General features: G+C 44.8%; 2 pseudogenes, besides 1 other annotated feature; one reads left to right on the forward strand and one right to left on the reverse strand.

The window, feature by feature from the left end:
* Positions 3,383–3,884: an enhancer, noted in NCBI's record as "H3K4me1 hESC enhancer chr14:65722191-65722692 (GRCh37/hg19 assembly coordinates)". NCBI's record gives its function as "activates a minimal SCP1, AML or CMV promoter by ChIP-STARR-seq in naive H9 embryonic stem cells {active_cell/tissue: H9 hESC(naive)}" and the evidence as "EXISTENCE:reporter gene assay evidence [ECO:0000049][PMID:30033119]".
* RPL21P7 (ribosomal protein L21 pseudogene 7) lies at positions 14,513–15,642 on the reverse strand (annotated as a pseudogene).
* On the forward strand, positions 16,723–17,489 carry RPL36AP2 (ribosomal protein L36a pseudogene 2; annotated as a pseudogene).

Consider the following 25,163-nt stretch of genomic DNA (forward strand, 5'->3'; position numbering starts at 1 on the left):
CACAAAACTGGTCCCTGCTGCTAAAATGATTGGGGACTACTGCTTTAGGGATGTCCCAGAAAGGGGCTGTTATGATGCAGCTGTCCACTTTTGGGTGGTGCCTGCACATTGTGCAGAACTATTACCAGGCCTGATCTCTTCTTCTGTGAACTGATCATTGGGTATTCCCAACAAGGTCATAGGTGCAGGCTGGGAGAGAGGAGGCAGTGAAGCAGAAGTAGGAATTATGGGCATTTGGGCCACTTCCTCATGTAATTTACTTGTTCTTCAGGACTTGCTTGAGCCTGACCACCTATATACCATTTCCATTTGATGATGGAGTACTGCTGTGCACATCCAACTTCATGGCTTAGTGGGTCAGATAGCACCCAGTTCATGATAGGCAGCTCAGGTCACATGGTAACTTGGTGGCCCATGGTCAAACATTCAGTCTCTACTGAGGCCCAGTAGCAGACCAAGAGCTGTCTCAAAAGGAGTGTAGTTATTTGTGAATGATGGCAGGAACTTGCTCCAAAATCCTGAAGGCCTCCACTGTGATTCACCCATGAGGGCCTGCCAAAGGCTCCAGACAGATCCCTATCTGTCACTGATACCTCAAGCACCATTGGATCTGATGGGTCATATGGCCCAAGTGACAGAGCAGCTTGCATAGCAGCCTGGACCTGTTACAGAGCCTTCTCCTTGTCTAGACTCCACTCAAAACCAGCAGCTTTTCAAGTCACTTGGTAAATGGGGCAGAGTTACACACCCAAATGAGGAACATGTTGCCTCCAAAATCCAAAGAGGCCTACTAGGCATTGCACCTCTTTTTTGGTTGTAGGAGGGGCCAGATGCTACAAGGTGTCCTTCACCTTAGAAGAGATATCTTGACATGCCCCATACCACTGGACCCCTAGAAGTCTCATTAAATGAAACCACATCCGAAATAAAACCACAACAGCAATACAACCACATCTGGTACAGCAGCTGCAGTGGGAATCATCACCTGGTTAAGTTCATAGTAATCCACTGTCATTCTCCATCTGTCTTTTGCACAGGCCAAATGGGCATGTGGAATAAGAATGTGGTGGGAATTGCCACCCCTGCCTCCTTGATGATGGCCCTACTCTCTGCAGTCCCTCCAGGAATTAAGTATTGCTTTTGGCTTACTCTTTTCCTAGGTAGAGGCAGTTCTAGTGTCTTCCACTTGGCCTTTCCCACCAGAATAGCCCTTCCTCCACAAGTCAGGGAACCAATGTGGGGATCTGTCAGCTGCTGAGTGTATCCATTTCAATTATGCATTCTGGAACTGGGGAAATAATCACAGGATGTCTTTGGGGATCCACTGGACCCACCGTGAGATGGACCTGGGAAAAAAAATCTTGAGCTGCATTCACATTAGTGATTCATAAACTGATAAGCATGAGAGCCTTTCAGGTTATAAGAAAGGGATACAAGGACGCAAAAGAGGGAATTCAACATAAATGAAGAAGGAACCTAACTCAGCCATGGGGCGAGAAGGTGTCTGTGAACTCACAGTGAGCAAGGCTGTATTTGGGAGATGGAAGTATTTTGAAGTGTTCTTTGAGGTTGACTCTTTAGCTTCCCTTCACATCAACCATGGTAATTCCATTCCCCTTGGGAGGGACTAGCTAAAGAATGGGCATGTATCCAATTCTGGCTAATGGTACAAAAAGAAGATTCTACAGGAGACTGCTGGTAAAAGCTTCCATGCTTCTGAAAAAACACGAAAGCTTTCTTTTTCTGCGTGTTATTGTGTTTGGTGCAGACGTCGTATTACCACAAAGGGAGCCAGCTGAAGGAAAAAGCCAATGTCCTGCGGAGAGAAAAGCAGAGAAATGGAGGCTGCTTGGCTCCTTGAGGACACCTTGAGCCACTCATCGTACCACACCTGGAACCCACTACTTCTAGACTAACTATTATATGAGATAATACATTTCCTTACATGTTTGAATCTGTGTTTTCTATTACTTATGGCTAAGGCATCCTAACCAACAGAGAGTATGGGACAGATTTCCTGCATTAACTGGTAGGAGCTTAGAGCTAAGATTTGGGTACTAAGGAGGTGTAACTGGTATCTTCACAGGCTGGGGGGACCAGGACAAAGGGGTCATTCATTCTTCTCTGCATGTCAGGGGAGACTCTACAACCCAGCTGAGGTAGGAAAATTGGATTTCTCTGTCTTTTGTTTGTATTTCTGTTTTGTTATTTATTTATGTATTGAGACAGAGTCTTGCTCTGTCACCCAGGCTGGAGTGCAATGTCACAATCTCGGCTCACTGCAACCTCTGCCTCCCAGGTTCAAGAAATTCTCCTGCCTCGCCAGGCACAGTGGCTCATGCCTGTAATCCCAACACTTTGGGAGGTCAAGGTGGGTGGATCACAAGGTCAGGATTTCAAGACCAGCCTGGGCAATATAGTGAAACCCCATGTCTACTAAAAATACAAAAAGATTAGCTGGCCGTGGGGGTGCCTGTAATCCCAGCTACTCGGGAGGCTGAGGCAGGAGAATGGCGTGAACCCAGGAGGCGGAGGTTGCAGTGAGCCAAGATCGTGCCACTGCACTCCAGCCTGGGCGACAGAACGATACTGTGTCTCAAAAAAAAAAAAAAAAAAAAAAAAGAAAAAGAAAAAAAAAAAAGAAATTCTCCTGCCTCAGCCTCCTGAGTACCTGGGAGTATAGATGTGCACCACCACACCTGGCTTTTTTTTGTATTTTTAGTAGTGACAGTGTTTTGCCATGTTGGCCAGGCTGGTGTCCAACTCCTGACCTCAGGTGATCCACCCGCCATGGCCTCCCAAAGTGCTGGGCTTACACGCATGAGCCGCTGCGCCCAGCCTCCGTTTTTTAAATCAAAATGAATCTAACCTTGAGCCCCCAGTCCTGTTCATTGGGCAGATTATTAATCTGTCATTCTGGAAGTGCAATCTCTCCCCTGAAATATTGTGCCTACCTGGGCAAAAGTGTGGGGGCCTCCCAACCAGTCATCAGCCGGTGATCTGCCCTAAGTTTTCCTTTGATGCCTCACATCCCTTCTGGTTTGTTGATTTTGCTGTTGCTGAGTCATACATGGGGCCCAGGAAATCTTTGGTGAGACTGGAGACTCAATGCCCAAGGCCTAAAATTTCCCCGAGATCTGGATGTCTCCTGGGGCTCTGGAAAGGGCTCCATTCTCAGAGTGAGACAGGTTTTCTGTTTTGTTTTGGTTTCTATCTTTCTGGTCTCTGAGCACTCTCCTCTGTCTTTCCTTGTCCTTCAAGGCTCCCCTCTCCCTGTCCCCCTCCCGCCTATCTCCCTCTGGGTATCTGCATCATCTCATCAGGAGCCAGGACTTTTACCCAAGGCATGAAGATCTGTTATCTTCAAACAGCTCTGCTTTCTGTCCTGCAAGGATTCGTAAGGCAAGAAAAACCAAAAAAGCTGACTTGTAGTACCTGCTTGGGAAAAGACGGCAATGGAAAAACACAGTAAACAAATTAATATCTTAATTATCTTGTCACAGGTGCCTCAGCGGAGCACTGTGACAGAGGAGCACAATAGGAGGGCTGACTCCAGGCTGAGTGGCAGCGAGCCAGCCAGCCAATGAGAGTGGGACAGGGAGAAAGAAGGTGGGAGCTGAGCAGTGCTGGGGAAGCTTTCTTGCAAACTTGCAAAACCTGCCTGGCAGCCTGAGAGCCTTGTGACAGGGATGCCTCTTTCCTATCTCAAGTCCTGAGGTGTCCTTAAACTTAGTTTTTCATTTCCAGAAGCCTTCTCGCTGTACCTTGTGGTCACACGTGGAGGGCTACGATACCTCCTCATCTCACCAGAGAGTGGGAAGTTTCAAATAAGAACATGCGGGAAAGATCTTTGAGTTGCTCTGCAGGAAGGAGGCCCTGGCAGCCCACCCCAGCCTCCTCCGTGGAGCTCACCCTCCATTCAGCCCTGGTGGTCCCCTGCAGCTTGTATCTGCCACAGCCCTGCAGGTGGCACTGGGACTCCTGGGCTTCTGGACTTGGCTCAGAGGTAAACAAGAACAGCAGATGTTCATGCAGCTTGGATTTAGATAGTATCTTCCCACCCAGAGCTGAAAAGACCTTTGAAATCATTGAGACCAACTCCCTACTCTTACAGTTAAGGGCCCAGAGGATAAGAGAAGCCAGGAGACTTGGCTAAGGTGACCTGAAGCTATAAGGAGGGACAACCAAGGCTCCTTATCTCTCTCAGCCCTCCCTTATCACCCTGATCTCTGGGTGCTGCCCCTTGATCCTGGTTGCCTCATGTGGTGCTTTTGAATGATTTACCTGTCCTTCTTGCCACTTGTGGGGCCAGCACGCCTTGCCCTTCCTGCAGATGCCTGCTGTCTCCTGGATGTTGGGCTGTCAGATGATTAACCCAAGGACAATGAAGGGTGTGCAGAGTCCCCAGACCTCAGATCTTGAGCTGGGCTCTTGCTCAGTTTTTCATCGGCATCCCGACAGCATTTGTTAAGGGGAATGGGACTGTGGGTTACTCAGAAGCCCTGGGCATTTTCCAGTTCACAGGCACCTTCTGAGCATGCTCATTTGTGACTTTCTGACCAAAACATTTCAGCCTGGAGATAATCTTCAAGTAAACAAGTATGGGGTCTTTTGTCTCCCATTGTTTTGATTGGTTTAATAACTAATCAATCATATATTCTGAGGCTGCCTTAAAATCCTCAACCATGCTGCAGGTCATTACATGTGTATAGCACTTTATAATTCAGAATACATTATTTCATCAGCTTTATGAGATTCTTTGACCATACCCATTTCACAGGTATGAAAACTGTGAGTCAGCAAGGTTAGATGACCTGCCGTTTTAGAAGGAAGAATCAGAGCCACAACTAAGATGATAGCCTGGATTCTAGTGCAGTGATCTTGTCCCTGGCCCTCCACTAGGTACAGGCTGGCTACATGGTCTTCAGTGGAGTGGGGCAGTGGAGATAGTGAGGGGAGCTGCCCACCATGGAAAAAGTGCTGATAAAACACTTGGGACTTGGCTGGGCGCGGTGGCTCACGCCTGTAATCCCAGCACTTTGGGAAGCCAAGGCAGGCCGATCATGAGGTCAGCAGATCAAGACCATCCTGGTCAACATAGTGAAAACCTGTCTCTACTAAAATACGAAAAAAAATAAGCCAGGCATGGTGGCATGCGCCTGTAGTCCCAAAGGCAGGGGAGTCACTTGAACCGGGAGGCGGAGATTGCAGTGAGCTGAGATTGCACCACTGCACTCTAGCCTGGCGACAGAGCGAGACTCCATCTCAAAAAAAGAAAAAAAAAAATACTTGGGACTTCGGAGACAGACTGGGATATGATCTAGTTGAAAAGTACCAAAGTTACCCCAAAAGCAGCTCTGTTTACTTCGTGATCCCCACCTCCAAGTTTCTCATCCTTGACCTTGTTCCTGGTCGCTCCTTTGACTCCATGATTTGGACTCTCAGCCCAAACCAGGTTTTACTCCAGTCCATCCAGATTCCATCCCCACGCCCATCTCAGATTGTCAGTTCCAGTTTCCTTCCAGACCCCAGGGCTTGCAGCTGCCCCTACTGGCCTCACTGTTGCCAGTGAGGGGCACGCCTGACTAGCTGCTGACCGAGCACTAGTGACCCTATTTAATTACTCTCTCGTGTTCAAGCATCTAAGAGCAGTTGTGAGAGAGCCAAGTGCAAGAGGCACCAAGCGATCTCCACCCAGAGGCAAGTCCCCCAACTGCAAAAGGGCCTGTGGAAGCTAAAGCGTCAAAGTTCAGGATGATTACGGTCAGAAAAGTCTAGGCCAAGGGCCTGTGGCCAGAGGTGTATCACCTCCTGACCTCTGATGACTCCTTATGCAAGTTCGCCCTTCCATCATCCAAGATCAGTGGCCCTCAAACTTGGATGGACAAAACAACACTGGAGAGCTATTAAAGTTACAAATGCCAGCTGGGCATGGTGGCTCACGCTTGTAATCCCAGCACTTTGGGAGGCTGAGGCAGGTGGATCACCTGAGGTAAGGTGTTCGAGACCAGCCTGGCCAACATGGTGAAACCCTGTTTCTACTAAACACAAAAAATTAGCTGGACGTGGTGGCACATGTCTGTAATCCCAGCTACTCGGGAGGCTGAAGGCAGGAGAATCGCTTGAACCCAGGAGGTGGAGGTTGTAGTGAGCTGAGATTGCACCATTGCACCCCAGCCTGGGCAACAAGAGTGAAACTCTGTCTCAAAAAATAAAAAAAAAAAAAAAATAAAGTTACAAATGCCTTTGCCCCCACCTAGACTTGCCGAAATAGATTGAAACCATCCCTACAAACTTTATAAAATTAATCAGGGAAGAAGGGAGGGGAGAAATGAAAACAAGCTAAGCTTGCAGCACACTCAGCATTAGTCATTAGGTCAGCTTGTGCCTGACCTGCTTCCACACAGTTGTTTGCCTATTGTCTTAGAATCACGTGGACCCTAGACTATAGGTCCCCTAAACAGCTAAAGAGATAACACCTTAAGCATTATGAAACATTATGTTTTCCATTTGAGATATTCTTTCAGGTCTTGCATACCAGTGTGACTACTGATATCAGCTAATCTGAAGGACCCCATGGGAGCTGACTCACTAAAGAATGCCATTTCCACCTCCTGATGATTTCATCTCCTGTATCCTGACCAATCTATGACCCTAATTTTCCAGCCCCTTGTCCTTCACAATCTCCTTAAAGATCCCACCTCAGGCTGGGCGCGGTGGTTCATACCTGTAATCCCAGCACTTTGGGAGGCCAAGATGGGCAGATCACCTGAGGTCAGGAATTCGAGACCAACCTGACCAACATAGAAAAACCCCATCTCTACTAAAAATACAAAATTAGCTGGGTGTGGTGGCGCATGCCTCTAATCCCAGCTACTCGGGAGGCTGAGGCAGGAGAATCACTTGAACCCAGGAGGTGGAGGTTGTAGGGAGCCGAGATAGTGCCATTGCACGATTGCCTGGGCAACAAGAGCAAAACTCCATCTCAAAAAAAAATTTAAAAAAATTTAAAAAAATGTCCCACCTCAAAACTGCTTGGAGAGATGTATTTGAGAGTCTCCTTCCCACCTCCTTGCTCTATGCCCTGTGAGCATCAAACTCTTTCTCTGCTGCAAACCCTGCTGTCTTAGTGTACTGGTCTGTTACTGTGCAGCAGGCACACAAACTTGTTGGTCCTATAACAAGGTTAGGACCAAATGTTCTTGCCCACACCTAGACTTGCTGAATCAGACACTTCAGGTTAGAACCAAAGACTGCATTTGTAACAAACAGCTTAGAGCATTCTGATGCAGATAGCCTATAGAGCAGACTGTAAGAAACATCAGTGTGTTTCCACTTAATATGTGAGTTTGGGCAAGGCTCTTACCCTCTGTAAAATAGGGAAAGAGTAGTTGTGAGGATTAAATGGAAAGATGGGAAGCAAAGTACTTAGCACAATGTCTTATATATGGTAAGCACTCAAAAAGGTTAACTGTTATTGCTATTATGATTATTTTATTTTATTTTACTTTTTTGAGATAGAGTCACTCTGTCACTCAGGCTGGAGTGCAGTGGTAGGATTTTGGGTCACTGCAACCTCCTCCTCCCAGGTTCAAGTGATTCTCCTGACTCAGACTCCTGAGTAGCTGGGATTACAGGAACCAGCCACCACACCCAGCTAATTGTTGTATTTTTAGTAGAGATGGGGTTTCACCATGTTGCCCAGGCTGGTCTTGAACTCCTGGCCTCAAGTGATCTGCCTGCCTTGGCCTCCCAAAGTGCTGGGATTACAGGCATGAGCCACTGCACCCAGACTATTGTGATTGTTTTGTCTCACTATTCAGCTAAACTCCCTGGTACTACTGCCTGCTTCAAATTTCTCCCTATTCCGAGAGGATTTTCTATTAGTCCTCCTCTTCTTCAATTCTATTCTTTCTGATCCCATCAAATGAATTTATTATCACTTACTCCCAAGCATAAACCAAAATGCAAGACTGCCAGCCCTCTCCTTTCCAGCCACAGATAGTCACAGACACACAGATGCATGCACGCGCCCACACACACACACACACACACAAAACATGTGCTCCAGCTCTGCACATTCCCTCCTGCAAATTCTGATTGTCAAGGTGCTGAGGGTGTGGACAGAAGTTGTCTTTGGGTGGGTGAGATTGTAGGTGGGGATTTTTTTATTTCCTTTCTTTGCTTGTCTGTATTTTCTGGTTTGTTTGTCATGGGTGTGTTTGCATTTGTACCAAGAAAAGTTATTTTTAATTTTTGTAAATTCTAGTTGTTGCCATGTCTAGAAACTCTCCCTGAAGGGTGCTACTGCATTCTGAGCACTCCTTTTAACTTCATGCCCCCTCATCCTCTCTTCTCTGTGCTCTTTGCTATTATACATTTACATTCACTAGTGAGTTGCTCTGTAGATGGTCTTAAAGGGGTTGAGCAACCTTGAGCAGACAGGCGGCACCTTGAGGGTAGAGGCTGTGTCCTCTCTTCTGTGCAAACAGCTTGCACATTTCTTAGCTAACTTCAGCTCTCTACCCTCCTGTCCTTACCACTGAGCCCAGGTGACTGTGAGAAATTGAAGGTGCTTGGTTAGAACAGGGCTTAGTTCTACTCAGCTGAATTTTCTATTATTTTCATTTTAAAATTTCTGACACTTGGGGTAGCAGTCTTGAGTGCACTAGACACATAGGCACAGTCTCTGGAGAACTCCGAACAATACACAGGGCAGGTTTATGCGGGGATTGACAGTGTCATGGGGCTTGGGGGTAGTGTCTTAGCCTGGTTGTGAATTTAACCCAGATCTTGCAAAATCTCCAGACATCCTTTTTTCTCACTTTTTTTTTTTTTTTTCAAGGCCCTCATGGCTCTGGGAGCTTTGGTCAAGGCTAAGACTCATTCCCTCTCCAGTGTATATTTAAGAACCAAACATGATTAAAAACAGATGTGATTAAGAATGTGAGCTTGAGATTAAACAGACCTAGGTTTAAATCCTAGCTCTGATCCTCAAGTAACTGTACCAAGTCATTTAACCTCTTCTAGCCTCAGTTTCCTCATCTGGAAAATGGAGACAGAAATTGTGTCCACCTAATAGGATAATAGGATTATTGTAAGAATTAAGGAAAACAATGCATGTAAAGCATTTGGTGCTCAGCAACTGGTAATGATCACTACCACCAGGATGTTTGGGAGCCGCAAAGATAGAAACCAAAGAGAAACAACACCTCTGACTTGGAAAAAACTTTCCTTCTCAAGGGGAGAAACAAAGAACCTCTGTGTGACATAGACAAAGTGAGTCCAAGGTAACATACTCACGGACAGGAGAGAGGGGCACACAGTATATCCAAGAGCTGGGAGCTTCCTACCAAGGGGAAATCTGAGAAATCTTCAGAAAAGAGGTAAGTCTTGGATGGACGTGGAGGGATAAGTGAGAGGAGAGATGACAGGTGGGCTAGAGGCCAGGAGCTGGCTGCTGGGGCTGTGGATATAGCTGTATAGGCTAGCAGTTAAGAGCTCAAGTGCTGGAGTCATAGGACATGTATTTGAGTCATTGACTGTGGTGTTGAGAAAGTAGACTGGGTGGCTTAGAAACAACACTGATTTATTTCTCATGGTTCTGGTGGCTGGGAAGTTCAAGATCAAGGTGCCAGCAGATTTGGTGTCTGATGAGGGCCTGCTTCCTGGTTCACAGACAGCTGCCTTCTCACTGTGTCCTCACATTGTGGAAGGAGTGAGGGAATCTCTCTGGGGTCCCTTTTTTGTTTGTTTGTTTGTTTGTTTAAGACAGGGTCTTGCTCTGGCATCCAGCCTAGAGTGCAGTGGCATGATCATAGCTCACTGCAGCTTCAACCTCCTGGGCTCAAGCAATCCTCCCACCTCAGCCTCACAAATAGCTGGGACCACAAGTAGATGCCACCACAGCTGACTTTTTAAAATTTTGTGTAGAGATAGGGACTCCTTATGTTGCCTGGGCTGTTCTCAAACTCCTGGGCTCAAGTGATCCTTTTGCCTCTGTCTCTCAAAGTAATGGGATTACAGGGATGAGCTACAGCGACCAGCCTGGAGCCTCTTTATGACAGCACTAATCTCATTCCCAAGGGCTCTGCCCTCATGACCTACTTACCTCCCAACGGCCCCCCTTCTAAATACCATCGTTTTGGGATTAGATTTCAACATGTGAATTTTGGGAGGACACAAACCTTCAGATTATAGCAGTTACCCTCCACAAGCCTCACTTTTCTTAATTTTGTAATATACAGAATGGTAGTTCCTTCCTATTAGGATTTTTATGAGGAGTTAGTAAAATAATGCTTGTAAAGTGCATTTTAAAAATTTAGTAATTACATTTCAGAGACACAGCCAACGTTACTGCTATTTTTGTATTGTATTTATTATTATAATTCCATACTTGGCCTTGTTTTCCAGAAGAATACTTACACAACCATTCAGGGTCTTTTTCCCCATGTTTTTGGATACCTGCATTCATTCATCTATTACATAATAATAATAGAATATATATATATATATAAATATATATAATTATTTTTTTTTTTCTGAGACGAGTCTCGCTCTGTTGCCCAGGCTGGAGTGCAGTAGCATGATCTCGGCTCACTGCAAGCTCCGCCTCCCGGGTTCACGCCATTCTCCTGCCTCAGCCAAATAGCTGGGACTACAGGTGCCCGCCACCACACCTGGCTAATTTTTTGTACTTTTAGTAGAGACGGGGTTCCACTGTGTTAGCCAGGATGGTCTTGATCTCCTGACCTCGTGATCTGCCCACCTTGGCCTCCCAAAGTGCTGGGATTACAGGTGTGAGCCACTGTGCCTGGCCAATAGAACATATATATATTATGTAATAATAACAGCTGACATTTAAATAGTATATTCTATGTGCCAGGCATTGTTCTAAGTACAGGGTATACTGGGTATGTACAAAACTCATTTAATCTTCCCAATATTGCTGTGAAGTAGGTACTGTTATTATTCATATTTTATAGAGGATAAAATTGAGGTCCAGAGAAGTTAAGCAGCTTGCCCAAGATTACACAGCTAGTAAGTCACAGAACTAGAATTTTTGGTCCCAGAGAGTCTGGCTCAGAATCCATGCTCTTAACTACTTGGCTATTGAACATGCACACTATTCTCAAAAACTCCGGGAAGAATGGAAGTACAAAAATATGAATTAAACACTGATCCTACCAGAAGGGAGATAGTAGCCAGGGCGAGTGATAAGACACAGTAAGATCATACCCACCCATAGCGGGTGATCATGTGGCCTGGAGGCCCACGTGGGCCTCTTGACCTGGCTGAGTTATCCACTGGAATCAGCTTGGGTCATTGGACGAAGTCCTTGTTGGAGCCTGTGTAAAGTTAGTCAACACACTAACAGTGCATTGCTGGCACCTTTTTGCCACAGGTATCAGCACAGTTGGTGCTCCCTGGCCCACTGGAAGGCTGGATGATAGAATGTGGCTGGATGAGTATAAACCCTCGCTAGTATTAACTGAAAAAATAACTTGAAGTACAGAGCCTACTGAGTGAGGGTTGAGTCATTGCCTCACTGAGACATTGTATCATTCACTGACTGGACACCTGTTTTTTGCCAAGTTATCTTCTCTGTGATGGATGTGACATTGAAAACATGTTTTGTTTTGTTTTTTTCCTCCTGAGCACACTCTCAAAATCCCTAGGATTATTCCCACTTGCCCCTTCCCAGCTTCAAATGGTTTATGCCTTAGTATAAACATTTAGAAGGTTGGAGCTAAAAAGGTCCTTGATAGTGAGTGGTATCCTGGATACCAGTTTGCAAGAACCAATTGTTAAATTTTCAGGAATTTTGTAAGCTGATTGTTAAACACAGCCGTTCTCAAAAAATTGAATTATATAAACTTACAATCAAATAAACCGTATTAAAACAAAGGTAATAAATATTCAAAACTGATTATTTCAGTAGAGCGCAGTGGCTTATGCCTGTAATCCCAGCACTTTGGGAGGCTGAGGCAGGTGGATCATTTGAGGTCAGAGGTTCGAGACTAGCCTGGGCAACATGGCAAAATCCTGCCTCTACTAAAAATACAGACATAGCTGGGTGTGGTGGTGGGTGCCTGTAATCCCAGCTACTCAGGAGGCTGAGGCAGGAGAATAAAGATACAATTCTACAGGAGAATCACTTGAACCTGGGAGGTGGAGTTTGCAGTTGAGTCGAGCTAGTGCCACTGCACTCCAGCCTGGGCAACAGAGCAAGACTCCATCTCAAAAAACAAAAAGAAAAAAAATCCCTTGTTACTTCATAATTACTTTACTATATGATATGCGATTGCATGGCCAATGCTGCATTCAGTGATGTGTTGTTGGTAAGTTCGAATTTAGCCATGGTGGTAGTATTTACACCACTGAAATCAGCAGACACTATAAATCAGTACCCCTTCCCCCAAAGCCCATTGTTGCCCAGAACATCATTTACCTTAGAAATAATCAAATCTGGTTATTTTCACCCTGGGTTTCAGTCAAGGGCATCCACCGAGAGTCCTTGGTTACTGCTAGAGGAGGAGGAAGGACAGGCAAGGTGAGAGCAGGTGAGGCTCTGCCCATTGTCCCTGCCCCTGAGCTAGGCCAGCCTGATGTGTGATTGTCATTTATTTATTTATTTATTTATTTATTTATTTATTTATTTGAGACAGAGTCTCACTCTGTTGCTCAGACTGAAGTGCAATGGCGTGATCTTGACTCACTGCAACCTCTGCCTCCCCACCCCCAGGTTCAAGCAATTCTCCTGCCTTAGCCTCCCAAGTAGCTGGGATTATAGGCACCTGCCACCACGCCCAGCTAATTTTTGTATTTTTAGTAGAGACAGGGTTTTACCATATTGACCAGGCTGGTCTTGAACTCCTGACCTTGTGATTCACCTGCCTTGGCCTCCCAAAGTGCTAGGATTACAGGTGTGAGCAACCACACCCGGCCTGTTTGTTTGATCTAGTCTAATCTTACTTTATTCTTTTTTTTTTTTGAGACAGAGTCTCGCTCTGTTGCCCAGGCTGGAGTGCAGTGGCACGATCTTGGCTCACTGCAACCTCTGCCTCCCAGGTTCAAGCGATCATCCTGCCTCAGCCCCCCTAGTAGCTGGGATTACAGGGGCGTGCCACCACGCCCAGCTAATTTTTTGTATTTTTAGTAGAGACAGGGTTTCACCATGTTGGCCAGGCTATCCTTGAACTCCTGACCTCAGGTGATCCACCCGCCTCGGCCTCCCAAAGTGCTGGGATTACAGGCGTGAGCCACCGTGCCCGGCCTATTTTATTCTTATTTATTGTTCAGGAAATTGAATTTTTACAGTTCAGATCCAGAGGTAAGTGACTCTAGGCCTCCCAGAGCCTAATCTACTTCCATATATGAGGGAGCTGACATCATGGCACCCCAGGTGGGAGACAGACTCCTGTAGACCCTGACCTGGGGCTTTTCTGGGCCCCCAGCCACGGGAGACTCTTTCTCTGCTCCTACCTGATATGTAGTCCTCATCGGAGCTGCGTCCACTGTGCCTTTTTGCCCTGTAGACATGGTGGATTCCCAACCAAGTCTTGCAGGTAGTTTTCCTCCCCTAATAAAAACCTCTCCTAACACCTCAGAGTGACTGCCTGATTTGCTGAACCCATCTTCCCTGACTGATTTGAGGTCAAGTAGAAAAATCTTACCCTCACAAACAGGTTTTCAAACCTGTCTCAACTTTTGGTTGCAGAAATCTGCATAAAGCCTTAGGAAAACAAACAAACCAAAACAGAATACAGCAGCTATTTTATTTTTCTTTTAATTTTTTTCAATTTTTGTGAATTATTTTATTTCTTCCTTGATGATTTAGAGGGACTATTTCAAACCAGTACAAATATTTCATACATAATACTGGCCAATTTCTAACCAATTCAGTAATTTGTGGCATACTTGCAGCAAGAAACACATTAAATTTGAATAGTAAAGACATTACATAATGAATTACCGCACAATTAAAATTTACCTTAAATATTTCTGTGGGAGGGCCGGGTGTGGTGGCTCACTCCTGTAATCCCAGCACTTTGGGAGGCCGAGGCAAGCAGATCACTGAGGTCAGGAGTTTGAGACTAGCCTGGCCAACATGGGGAAACCCCATCTTTACTAAAACTACCAAAAAAAATTAGCCGGGCATGGTGGCACATGCCTGTATTCCCAGCTACTCCGGAGGCTGAGGCAGAAGAATCGCTTGAACCCGGGAGGCGGAGGTTGTAGTGAGCCAAGATCGTGCCACTGCACTCCAGCCTGGGCGACAAGAGTGAGACTCCATCTCAAAAAAAAAAAAAAAATATATATATATATATATATATGTTTATATATATATATATTTATATATAAATCTATATTTATATATATATTTATATATAAATCTATATTTATATATAAATTTATATATATATAAATATAGATTTATATATAGATTTATATATATATATTTCTTTGCGGGAGAGGACACCACACTTCTCAATAAAGAGAAACATTTTTATAGTCTAGAGGTCTTTTTTTTTTTTTTAACACCTATTATGCCATGAATTCACAGGGAATAGGTTCCAGCAGCTCAGGCTCCTTCCCATTGGTTCTCACAAAGTGTGCTGCTCTGGATGGAGCAGGCTGGTGCTTCAGTTGAACCCAGGTACCTTTCTCTTTGGCTTCTTTCTTTTTCTGATCATTTTCCTTTACGTGTTTCAGGAAGCTATTTTGGCTCTTAGAGTGCTGAATGTGCTCAATACGCACATTAATTCTCTTGGCAAGAATCCTGCCCTTAACTTGTTTGTTTACAACAATGCCAACGGCGTGCTGGGTAACACTGCAGACTCTTCCAGTTTTGCCATGATAACACTCGCGGAGCATTCCTTTTTGAACAGTACCCATTCCCTTGATGTCTACGATATCTACGATATCACCTTTCTTTCCTTCTTTCTTTCTTTCTTTCTTTCTTTCTTTCTTTCTTTCTTTCTTTCTTTCTTTCTTTCTTTCTTTCTTTCTTTCTTTCTTTCCTGCTTTCTTTCTTTCTTTTCTCTTTCTTTCTTTCTTTCTTTCCTTCTTTCTTTCTTTCTTTCCTTCTTTCCTTCTTTCTCTTTCTTTCTTTCTTTTTCTTCCTTCCTTCATTCCTTCCTTCCTCTCTCTTTCTTTCTCTTTCTCTATTTCTCTCTTTCTTTTTTTTTTTTTTTTTTTTGAGACGGCGTCTCGCTCTGTCGCCCAGGCTGGAGTGCAGTGGCGTGATCTCGGCTCACTGCAAGCTCCGCCTCCCGGGTTCACGCATTCTCCTGCCTCACCCTCCGGAGTAGCCGGGACTACAGGCGCCTGCCACCACGCCCGGCTAATGTTTTGTATTTTTAGTAGAGACGGAGTTTCACCGTGTTAGCCAGGATGGTCTCTATCTCCTGACCTCGTGATCCGCCCGTCTCGGCCTCCCAAAGTGCTGGGATTAACAGGCGTGAGCCACCGCGTCCGGCCGATATCAACTTTCTTATAGATTCGCATACATGTGGCCAAAGGAACAACTCCATGTTTTCTAAAGGGCCTAGAGAACATATATCGGGTGCCTCTCCTCTTTCCCTTTGTGTTCGTCATTTTGGCGAATTACTGGAAGATGGCGGTTCTGGCCAAAAGGAAGGAGCTATTTTAATTTTTATTAGGCAGAGGCAGAAATGGATATCAGGGCCTGCTCAAGGGCACATGGATGTGTTGGCGGGTGTGTGTGTGTCGTGGGGGGGACTGGGTGATGGGGAAAGTGGAAGCATGGCGAAGTGGAGAGAGAAGAGGATATGGGAGTGAACAGATAAAAAAGAAACATTTAAAGGAATCATTTTGGGGGTTAAAAAAATAACTCTAGGTTTGAAGGAGTATACAATTTCCCGAGACTTCATAAAGTCCTGCCAACTTCTTCCCTCTAGCAAAACCTGTTTCCGTGTGTTATCAGTCAGTTGTGCCTTGTTCTGTAATCTCAATCACACAGCGCCCAGTAAGAACAACAAATGCATTGCACAAACACATCTTTGTGGTAACACCACAATGAAGAATTCTGTAAGAAACATGGAATGAGTTTGCTAGGGCTGCCACAAGAAAATACTACAGACAAGAGGGCCTAAACAACAGAAATGTGTTTGCTCGCAGTTCTGGAGGCTAAAAGTCCAAGCTCAAAGCGTGGTAAGGTTTGGTTTGTTCTGAGGCCTCTCCTTGGCTTGCAGATGGCCACCTTCTCGCTGGGACCCCACAGGTCTTTCATCCATGCCTGCGAACATGTCTGTTGTCTCTCTCTCTGTCCAAATTTCCTCTTCTTATAAGGATACCAATCATTTTGTATTAGGGCCCACTCTAAAGACCTCATTTTCACTTAATCATGCCTTTAAAGAACTTATCTCCAAATACAGTTACATTCTAAGGTAATACAGGTTAGGACTTCAACATAGGAATTTTATGGGGACACGACTTGGCCCATAACAAATGTTTAGACACTGTTCATTCTATACTGCATGAATATGACCCCAGTCACACACTTAGATATTAAGGGTATCTCCTCATTGACCCCGAGAGGTTTTATTATCTACAGAAATTGACTGTCATGCCTTGGGCTGAGAGTTTATCAGATGAAATGCCTTTGAAAGAAAGTATTGATTCCTCCCTTTCTTGTTAGGCACGAGCCAGGTGAAGCAAGAATTGCAGACCCCAAACTTCCTGTTTTCATCGTGTAGAAAGCTCTACTGCAAATATGGTCAATGTGCCTAAAACCAGAAGAGCTTTCTGTAAGAAGTGTGGCAAGCATCAGCCTTACAAAGTGCCCCAGTATAAGGGCAAGGATTCCTCCTATGCCCAGGGGAAGATGCGCTGTGATCAGAAGCAGAGTGGTTACGGTGGGCAGACAAAACTGATTTTCTGGAAGAAGGCTGAAACTACCCAGATGATTGTGCTAAGGCTGGAATGTAGGGAGCCTAACTGCAGATCCAAGGGGATGCTAGCCATTCAGAAATGCAAACTTTTTTTTTTTTTAAGACAGGGCCTCACTCTGTTTCTCAGGCTGGAGTGCAATCATGGCTCACTGCAGCCTTGACCTCCCTAGCTCAAGCAATCCTCCAACCTCAACCTCTCGAGTAGCTTGGTCTACAGGTACACATCATTATGCTTGGCTAACTTTATTTATTTTTTGTAAAGGTAAGGGCTCAATATGTTGCCCATGCTGGCCTTGAATCCCTGGGCTCAAGTGGTCCTCCCACCTCGGCCTCCCAAAGCACTGGGATAATAGGTGTGACCCACCACACCTGGCTGGGATTTTTTGGTGGTGTTTTTTTCATTTTGAGGAGAAAAGGTTGAAGCTATAGAAAAATTACCTGTTTGTACCCCAAACCTCAGCATCTTGCAATCTACACAGGTAACGAAGCTGCACATGTACCTGAATCTAAAATAAAAGTTGAAAAAGAAAAAAAGAAAAATCACCAGTAGGAAAATACAGTGATATTCTTACTTAAAAAAAAAATCCTATGCTGACTTAGAGAATTTTGAAGGTCCCGTTTCTCCTTCAAATTGCCTTTTTGTCTTGTTTATACAGGAATTAATTTAGATGGGAGGTCCTGAAAGGGTTTGCAATATTTGCAGAAGCTACTAATGCTCTAGAAACAGGTGCAGTGGCTGAGCATGGGCTGAAAGGAGGTAGCAAGGAGAGATCACTGGTCAAGGTAGAGAGGGTGGGTGAATATCAAACTATCCCTCATCTAAAATGCATTGTGTATTTCCTCTTGGACTATGTATTTCCTCTTGGACTGTGGCACCCCTTCCTTCACTCTTCCCTAGATCCGTTGGCATTTGTCAGGCATCTAACAAAAATGGGCTTGGCAACTGCAAATACACAGGTGAGTGATATCATCAACTCCCTGCCTGTGTGGCTTTACAGTTCAGCTGGGTTAGCTACTAAAAAAAATGATTCAAAAAAACATAGTCCCTTCCTTCCAAGCAGAGAGGTCCCTAAAGGGTCACAACCAGTAAATCTCTTTCAGTCTCCAGAAAATGACTTAAAAGATTGTAGGTTGGGTGTGGTGGCTTATGCCTGTAATCCCAGCACTTTGGGAGGCTGAAGTGGGAGGATCAGTTGAGTCCAGATGTTTGAGACCAGCCTGGGCAGTAGTGAGACCTCATCTCTACAGAAAAATTAGCTGGGCCCCCATGGTGGCATGCGCCAAGAGGCTGAGGCAGGAGGATTGTTTGAGCCCAGGAGGCAGAGGTTGCAGTGAGCCGTGATTATTCCACTAAACTCCAACCTGGGCAACAGAGTGAGACTCTGTCCCCCCTGCTCTCCAGAAAAAGATTGCAGTTTAAAACTTTTATGAACTGAAGTAAAACTCCTTCCTATCTCCCCATATGCACCCATTCAAATGAATCAGAAATATGAATTTTAGATCTTCCTTTAATGACCTGAGTAGTGAAAAACAAGAAAAAGCATTGTTTACACATGAGTTGATAAACCACTTGGGGATAAGAAACAAGATGTGTACTCTACAGCCCCGTGCATTCTTTGCATGAAGCAGATACTCGATATATATTCACTGATTGGATCTGAATCTCCAAGAGGAAAGATAATTTAACCAAAACCACTACCGTCCTTAAAAAATGTCATCACTGTGTCAGACTGTGGAAGGAGGTGAGGCCTGATTTCTCCAGAAAGCAACCCAGGTGACAAAAGGGAAGACGGCACTCCTCTTTCTTCAAGGGCATCTAGAAGTCTTTGTTCTTTTTTAAGTAATGAACTGGAGACAAGGGTCTGACAATGAGTTTCACCTGCTCTTCCTGCTGCCATTCCAAGGCATGCACTTGAGTAGCCAATAGCTGAGGTGTAATGGCTTTGTAGCCTACTCTCCATCAGTAGTAACCCAGGGTAACCCAGGGCTGCCTCTGAAACTGCCAGACTCAGAGTTAAAATCCAATCAATTCAACAGATATTTATTGTGTTATTCATAATAACATATCACAGTTGTTGTTATTCAACAGATATTTAATGTGTTGCAGAAGAGTGCTAGTTTAGATTATAATTAGAGAAGAACCCAGGAATCTGGTGAGGTAGCTTGGAATAAGATTAGCTTTTAAATGTTGAAGATTTCTCTCTAAGACCTAGGCATGGGGTCCCAAAATAATCAGCAGAACCTAAGCTGCTAGATGAGAAAATATATGTCTAAAAAGGTGGGATGCTCACCATTCCACACTGGCTATTTGATGATTAGTGTGATCTGAACATGGACAGTGTTCCCTTGGTCAGTGATAGTTTTAGGTATAGGTATGTGACCCAATGCTGGTCAATAAGAAACAAAAAGAACCAATGCAGGAAGGCAGGGAGGGGACAGCAAAAGAGAAGTTTTCCAAGAAAGGTTAATACTGATAAAATGCTCCTCCATCACTGTTATATTTCAGATAATAGCCACCACTTGAACACTCTAAGAAGAAAAGAATTTAATTCAGGAAATTAGGTGCTTAAAAATTCACTGGTAGGCTAAAGGAGCAGGTCCTAGGCTATGTTGCCAGCAATAACCAGCAGAACATTGCAGAAATGTCTGCTAAAGAAGCTGCTACCTGTGTCCCCGTCAAGAAGGTGAAGGGACCAGGAAGCCACCACAGTAGGTGTGGCTCCAGAATGACACCTGTGGAAGTCCAGTGCCCCTGTGCCCATATTTGCAAGGAAACAGCAGACAACACAGACCACAGCCTCCTTCCAAATCTCAAGCAGGTACAAGTGATATGCATTCTTCAGTGTGAAGAATCCTACCCACTAGTCTATTAATGGAACACTCCTGCCCCTGTTCCCTCCCACCCCTCACTCCGTCCCAGGAGAGGTAAGTGAGGTATCTGACTGGCAAGTGTAGAAGAAGAAACTTGACATGCATGGACCAATCCCCTCCTCTTCTCTTTTCTGCCCACAGGGAGTATGCTTTCTGCCCTGTACAGACGTTTCCCCTGCAGGAGATGAATATTTGGAGCTACCCATGACTGGGTGGGAAAATGATATTGGGGTTTAGTATTAGGAAGCTCACTTGTCTACAGATAATGCTAATATCAGAGTTACCAGAAATAAAGATAATATTTTGATCACCATATGCCAACTCCTCCTGCCCCCACCCTTCTTTCTCTACTGATTCAAGAATCTGGTGAAGAAACTAGGGCTAGAGAAATGGAATCAAACTTTCCCGTGCTGCTAGATAACACCAGGCACTTGGTCTGTCATGAGGCCTCCTGCTTTATTTTATTGAGACGGAGTTTTGCTCTTGCTGCCCAGGCTGGAGTGCAATGGCACGATCACAGCTCACCGCAACCTCCACCTCCCAGGTTCAAGCGATTCTCTTGCCTCAGCCTCCCAAGTAGCTGGGGCTACAGGCATGTGCCACCATGCCCGGCTAATTTTGTATTTTTAGTAGAGACAGGGTTTCACCATGTTGGTCAGGCTGATCTTGAACTCCCGACCTCAGGTGATCCACCCGCCTTGGCCTCCCAAAGTGCTGGGATTACAGGCGTGAGCCACTGCACCCTGCCTACTACTTTATAACTCTCACAGTTTTCACAGTATTTCACACCTGTATCTCATATGATCCTCTCAACAACCTGTTCACAGAGGCATAATGGGCATTATTAGCTGAGGAGCTAATGCTGCAACTCTTAATGTTCATAACCTGTTCCATATCATGATACACATAGGAAACGGAAAAAAACATTTATGTGCACACACACACACACACACACACACACATATCACACTATGGAAAAAGTATGAGGCTGCTGGCACCAGAGGTAATTAACCCAGAGGTTCTAGCTGCCCTAGGCCTTGCATTGAGAGGATCAATATCTTATCATACCTGTAACCCACTCCCTGGCCACCAGTTAGGAAGTTCTGGCTTGGAGAAGTGTGCTAATTAGTTCAAGGCCACAAGGTTAATATATTAGTAGTTGATCCTTGAATAACACAGGGACAAGGGCACCAACTCCTGTGCAGTAAGAACTTCACATGTAACTTTTAACTCCCCCAAAACTTAACTACTAATGGCCTACTGTTGACTGGAAACCTTACCAATATTATAAACAACCAACTAACACATATTTTGTATGTCTTATATACTTATATACAATAAAGTATATATGCTTATATACAATAAAGCTTACTTATATACAATAAAGTAAGCTAGAGGAAAGAAAATGTTATTAATTATAGGCCTTGCATGGTGGCTCACACCTGTAATCCTAGCACTTTGGGAGGCCAAGGCAGGAGAATCACTTGAGTCTAGCAGTTTGAGGCCAGCCTGGGCAACACAGTGAGTCTCCATCTCTACAAAATAAAAAATAATTGACTGGGCACGGTGGCCCAACACTTTGGGAGGCTGAGGTGGGCAGATCACCTGAGGTCAGGAGTTTGAGACCAGCCTGGCCAACATGGTGAAACCCCGTCTCTACTGAAAATATGAAAATTAGCCAGACATGGTGGTGGGCGCCTATAATCCCAGCTACACGGAAGGCTGAAGCAGGAGAATTGCTTGAACCTGGGAGGCAGAGGTTGCAGTGAGCCGAGATAATGCCACTGCACTCTAGCCTGGGTGACAGAATGAGACTCTATCTCAAAAAAAAGAAAAAATTAAAAAAATAAATAAATAATTAGCTGGGTGTGGTGTTGTGCACCTATAGTTCCAGCTACTCCAGAGGCTGAGACAGAAGGATCACTTGAGCCCAGGAGTTCAAGGCTGCAGTGAGCTATGATTGTGTCACTGCACTCCAGCCTGCATGACAGAGCAAGACTCTGTCAAGAAAGAAAGGAAGGAGGGAAGGAAGGAAAAAGCGAAGGAAGGAAGGAAGGAAAATGAGGGAAGGAAGGAAGGAAAAGGAAGGAAGAAGGGAAGGAAGGAGAAAGAGAAAATATATTTATATTCATTACATGGAAGTGGATCATCACTTCCACTTCATCCTTATCATGTTCATGTTAAGTAGGCAGACTGAGAAGGAGGAGGAGGAAGAGGAGGGTTTGGTCTTCTTGTCTCTGGGGTGGCAGAGGCAAAAGAAAATTCACGTATAAGTGGACTGTGTAGTTCAAACCTGTGTTGTTCAAGGGCTAATTGTATATAGAAATTTGAGCTCAGATCCTCTAAGTCCAAATCCAAAGAATCTCAAACACAATCTGAAGTGGAAGAGGCATTTGTTACCTGCACACATCCCCACTATAGCTTACCGTAGGGTCAGAGAAGGTTCAAAGGGATGGCCTTTCCTTCTGGACCAATCTCTATCTAGAGATGCAACCTGCCTCCTATCAGGTCTCTTCCTTTCTGAGCCAGAGCAGGTTTTTCTAGTTACCTTCTGGAGAGGGGAGATCAGAGGAGTCTGCATTAAGTATCATGATCTGGGTAGTCCTCTGCTGATCTGGAAATCCACCATGGGGTGGGCAGTGCCTATTAGATAACCAAAATGCTGTCCCCACTTCTGAATACAAGCTAAGCCCCCCTGTCCAATGTGGTCAGGACAGTAGATATTTCACTAACTAAAAATATCTGCAAGGGAAACCAGGGAAAATGGTAAAAGCATACCTTAAACTTTCAATTTTAACTTAAAGCACATAAAGGTAAGTTTCGTTATCATTTTCTTTAAGGGTAGGATCAAGGCATTTTCTTGGAGCAGGTATCTATTAATTGAAGTTCTGCTTTATCTTTCTTGCATTCCCTGTATCTACAGTTTATTTATTTATTTTTTTGAGACAGAGTCTCGCTCTTTCGCCAGGTTGGAGTGCAGTGGTGTGATCTCAGCACACTGCAACCTCCACCTCCCAGGTTCAAGCAATTCTCCTGCCTCAGCCTCCCGAGTAGCTGGGATTACAGGAGTGTGCCATCATGCCCAGCTAATTTTTGTATTTTTAGTAGAGACGGAGTTTCACCATGTTGGCCAGGCTCGTCTTGATCTCTCGATCTCATGACCCGCCCACCTCGGCCTCCCAAAGTGTTGGGATTACAGGCGTGAGCCACTGCGCCCAACCTACAGTTTGTTTATTCTACAAATATGTGTTGTGTTCCTACTATGTGCCAGACATAATTTAGGTGATAAGGACACAGCAGTAAACAACACAAAGTCTCTGCACTCACAGAGCTTACTTTTCTATTGGAATCTACCATACATTCCAGTTTGGGTTTCTTTAGAGTAGAAGGAGAACTGAAACACACAAGGCAATCCGAGCCTTACTCTACATTACCGAGAATTACCCTAAAATATTTATGATTTTTTTGCTAGTCTTCACCACATGTCTTTCCCACACTAATTCAACAGCAATTTTTGTGTGTAACTTCTTTTTATCAAATCTTTCCAAAGCATACAACTCTAGTTTTCATAGGAACAAGAACTTATTTTTGCACTCACATTTCATTGGTTTTCATGATAATTAAATTGCATAATCAGAATTGCAAGTAGCATGGGCAGATGTGGGTTGGGAACCAATAGCCCTGGCTTCTTGTGAGCGCTTAGCTCAATTTGTGGGAACAGAAGTACCTGAGAGTACCTCTACTAGTTGGGTATCTGGCACGCCGTGGGCATTAGCGGGTTCTATAGAGGCAACAGGGAGCATCTGCTACCCGGATGATTTGGTTAGGTGGAGGTTCGCTTCAAGAGCTTCTGCCATATTGACCCACCTCTCTTCTCCAGACCAAATGCCACTCTTCTGTTGAAGTGTTCAAGTACTTATTCTAAAGCTTTACAAAGGTGGAGGAAACAAGACATACCTTGGTTAGCTACATTTTGGTTTTTATAAAATTCACAAAGGCGACGATATGTTTCTGTGCTGCCTTTTGTGTGCTGTCTTATGTGAATGTTCTCCTTTTCTCTACAATCCTGTCTTACATGTGGCCCTCGTCAGGTGCCCCAGGCATACCACTTCTCTTAGGATAATGCAGTCCCAGCCCTGCAGTCCCTTCTTTTATTTATTTATTTATTTATTTATTTATTTGAGATGGAGTCTTGCTCTGTCGCCCAGGCTGGAGTGCAGTGGCACGATCTCGGCTCAGTGCAAGCTCCGCCTCCCAGGTTCACGCCATTCTCTTGCCTCAGCCTCCTGAGTAGCTGGAACTACAGGCGCCCGCCACCAGGCCCGGCTAATTTTTTGTATTTTTAGTAGAGACGGGGTTTCACCGTGTTAGCCAGGATGGTCTCGATCTCCTGACCTCATGATCCGCCCGCCTTGGCCTCCCAAAGTGCTGGGATTACAGGCGTGAGCCACTGCGCCCGGCCTGTCCCTTCTTGAGCCTCACAAATTCTGTCTCTTCAGGCATCAGCTGGGATCACTGCATTTTCCCTTAGCTTAGGCTTTTGCTGGCTCTGTAGAGGCAAGAGGTAAATTCTGACACATAAACAGGGCTAAAGGAGAAGTAGGAGAACGCTGGCTTCTTTCCATCTGAAGGCAAATATACATCACCACCACCAAATAATGTAGATTTCTTCAGAAAACCCTCCAGTCTGGTCTTCTTTATTTTTCATGAAAAATGCACATTTCTCTTATTATTATAGCTTGGCCCCTATTTTCCTGGCTGAATTTCATTAAAGAGCCCCCCTCCCCCCCCTACATTAACTGAAAATGCCCCCACTCCGGGAACAATTTGGGACCAAAGGCACAGTGTTCAAATAGCATACACGGATGTCAAATCTTCTCCCTAAGCAGTAGAGGTGGATCATTCAGCTCATTCTCTACAATAGAGCTCCTGCTCTACAGGAGAGCCAGTTGCCCTCCCTTTTGTAAAGGGATAAGAAGAGAATACGTGCTTATTTATCCTGACAATACAACAGAGCAAGCCATATTAGAGAAAAACAGGAAAAATAATGATGCTAAGAAGTCAACGATAAAGACTGTTCCGTGCTCCACAGTGTTCCTTAGGTGACAATGAGGCGATAGAGATCATTTAATCCAACCAGTTTATGTCAAAAATAAGAATACCAAGACACTTGGGTAAAATGACTCGCACAAGACAGAGCCAGCCTGAGGCAAAGCTGGGGTAAGTCTCTGACTTTGAGTCATTTGTTGCATCCACTACACCAGCTGTTCTCGAAGTGTGATCCATAGACCCCTGAGGGTTCCTGCCATTCTTCTGAGGTATTCCTGAAATCAAAACTACTTTCATAATAATCATATGATGTTTTCTGCCTTTTTC

This window comes from Homo sapiens, chromosome 14 (genome assembly GCF_000001405.40).
Source record: "Homo sapiens chromosome 14, GRCh38.p14 Primary Assembly".
In the NCBI taxonomy this organism is placed as follows: domain Eukaryota; kingdom Metazoa; phylum Chordata; class Mammalia; order Primates; family Hominidae; genus Homo; species Homo sapiens.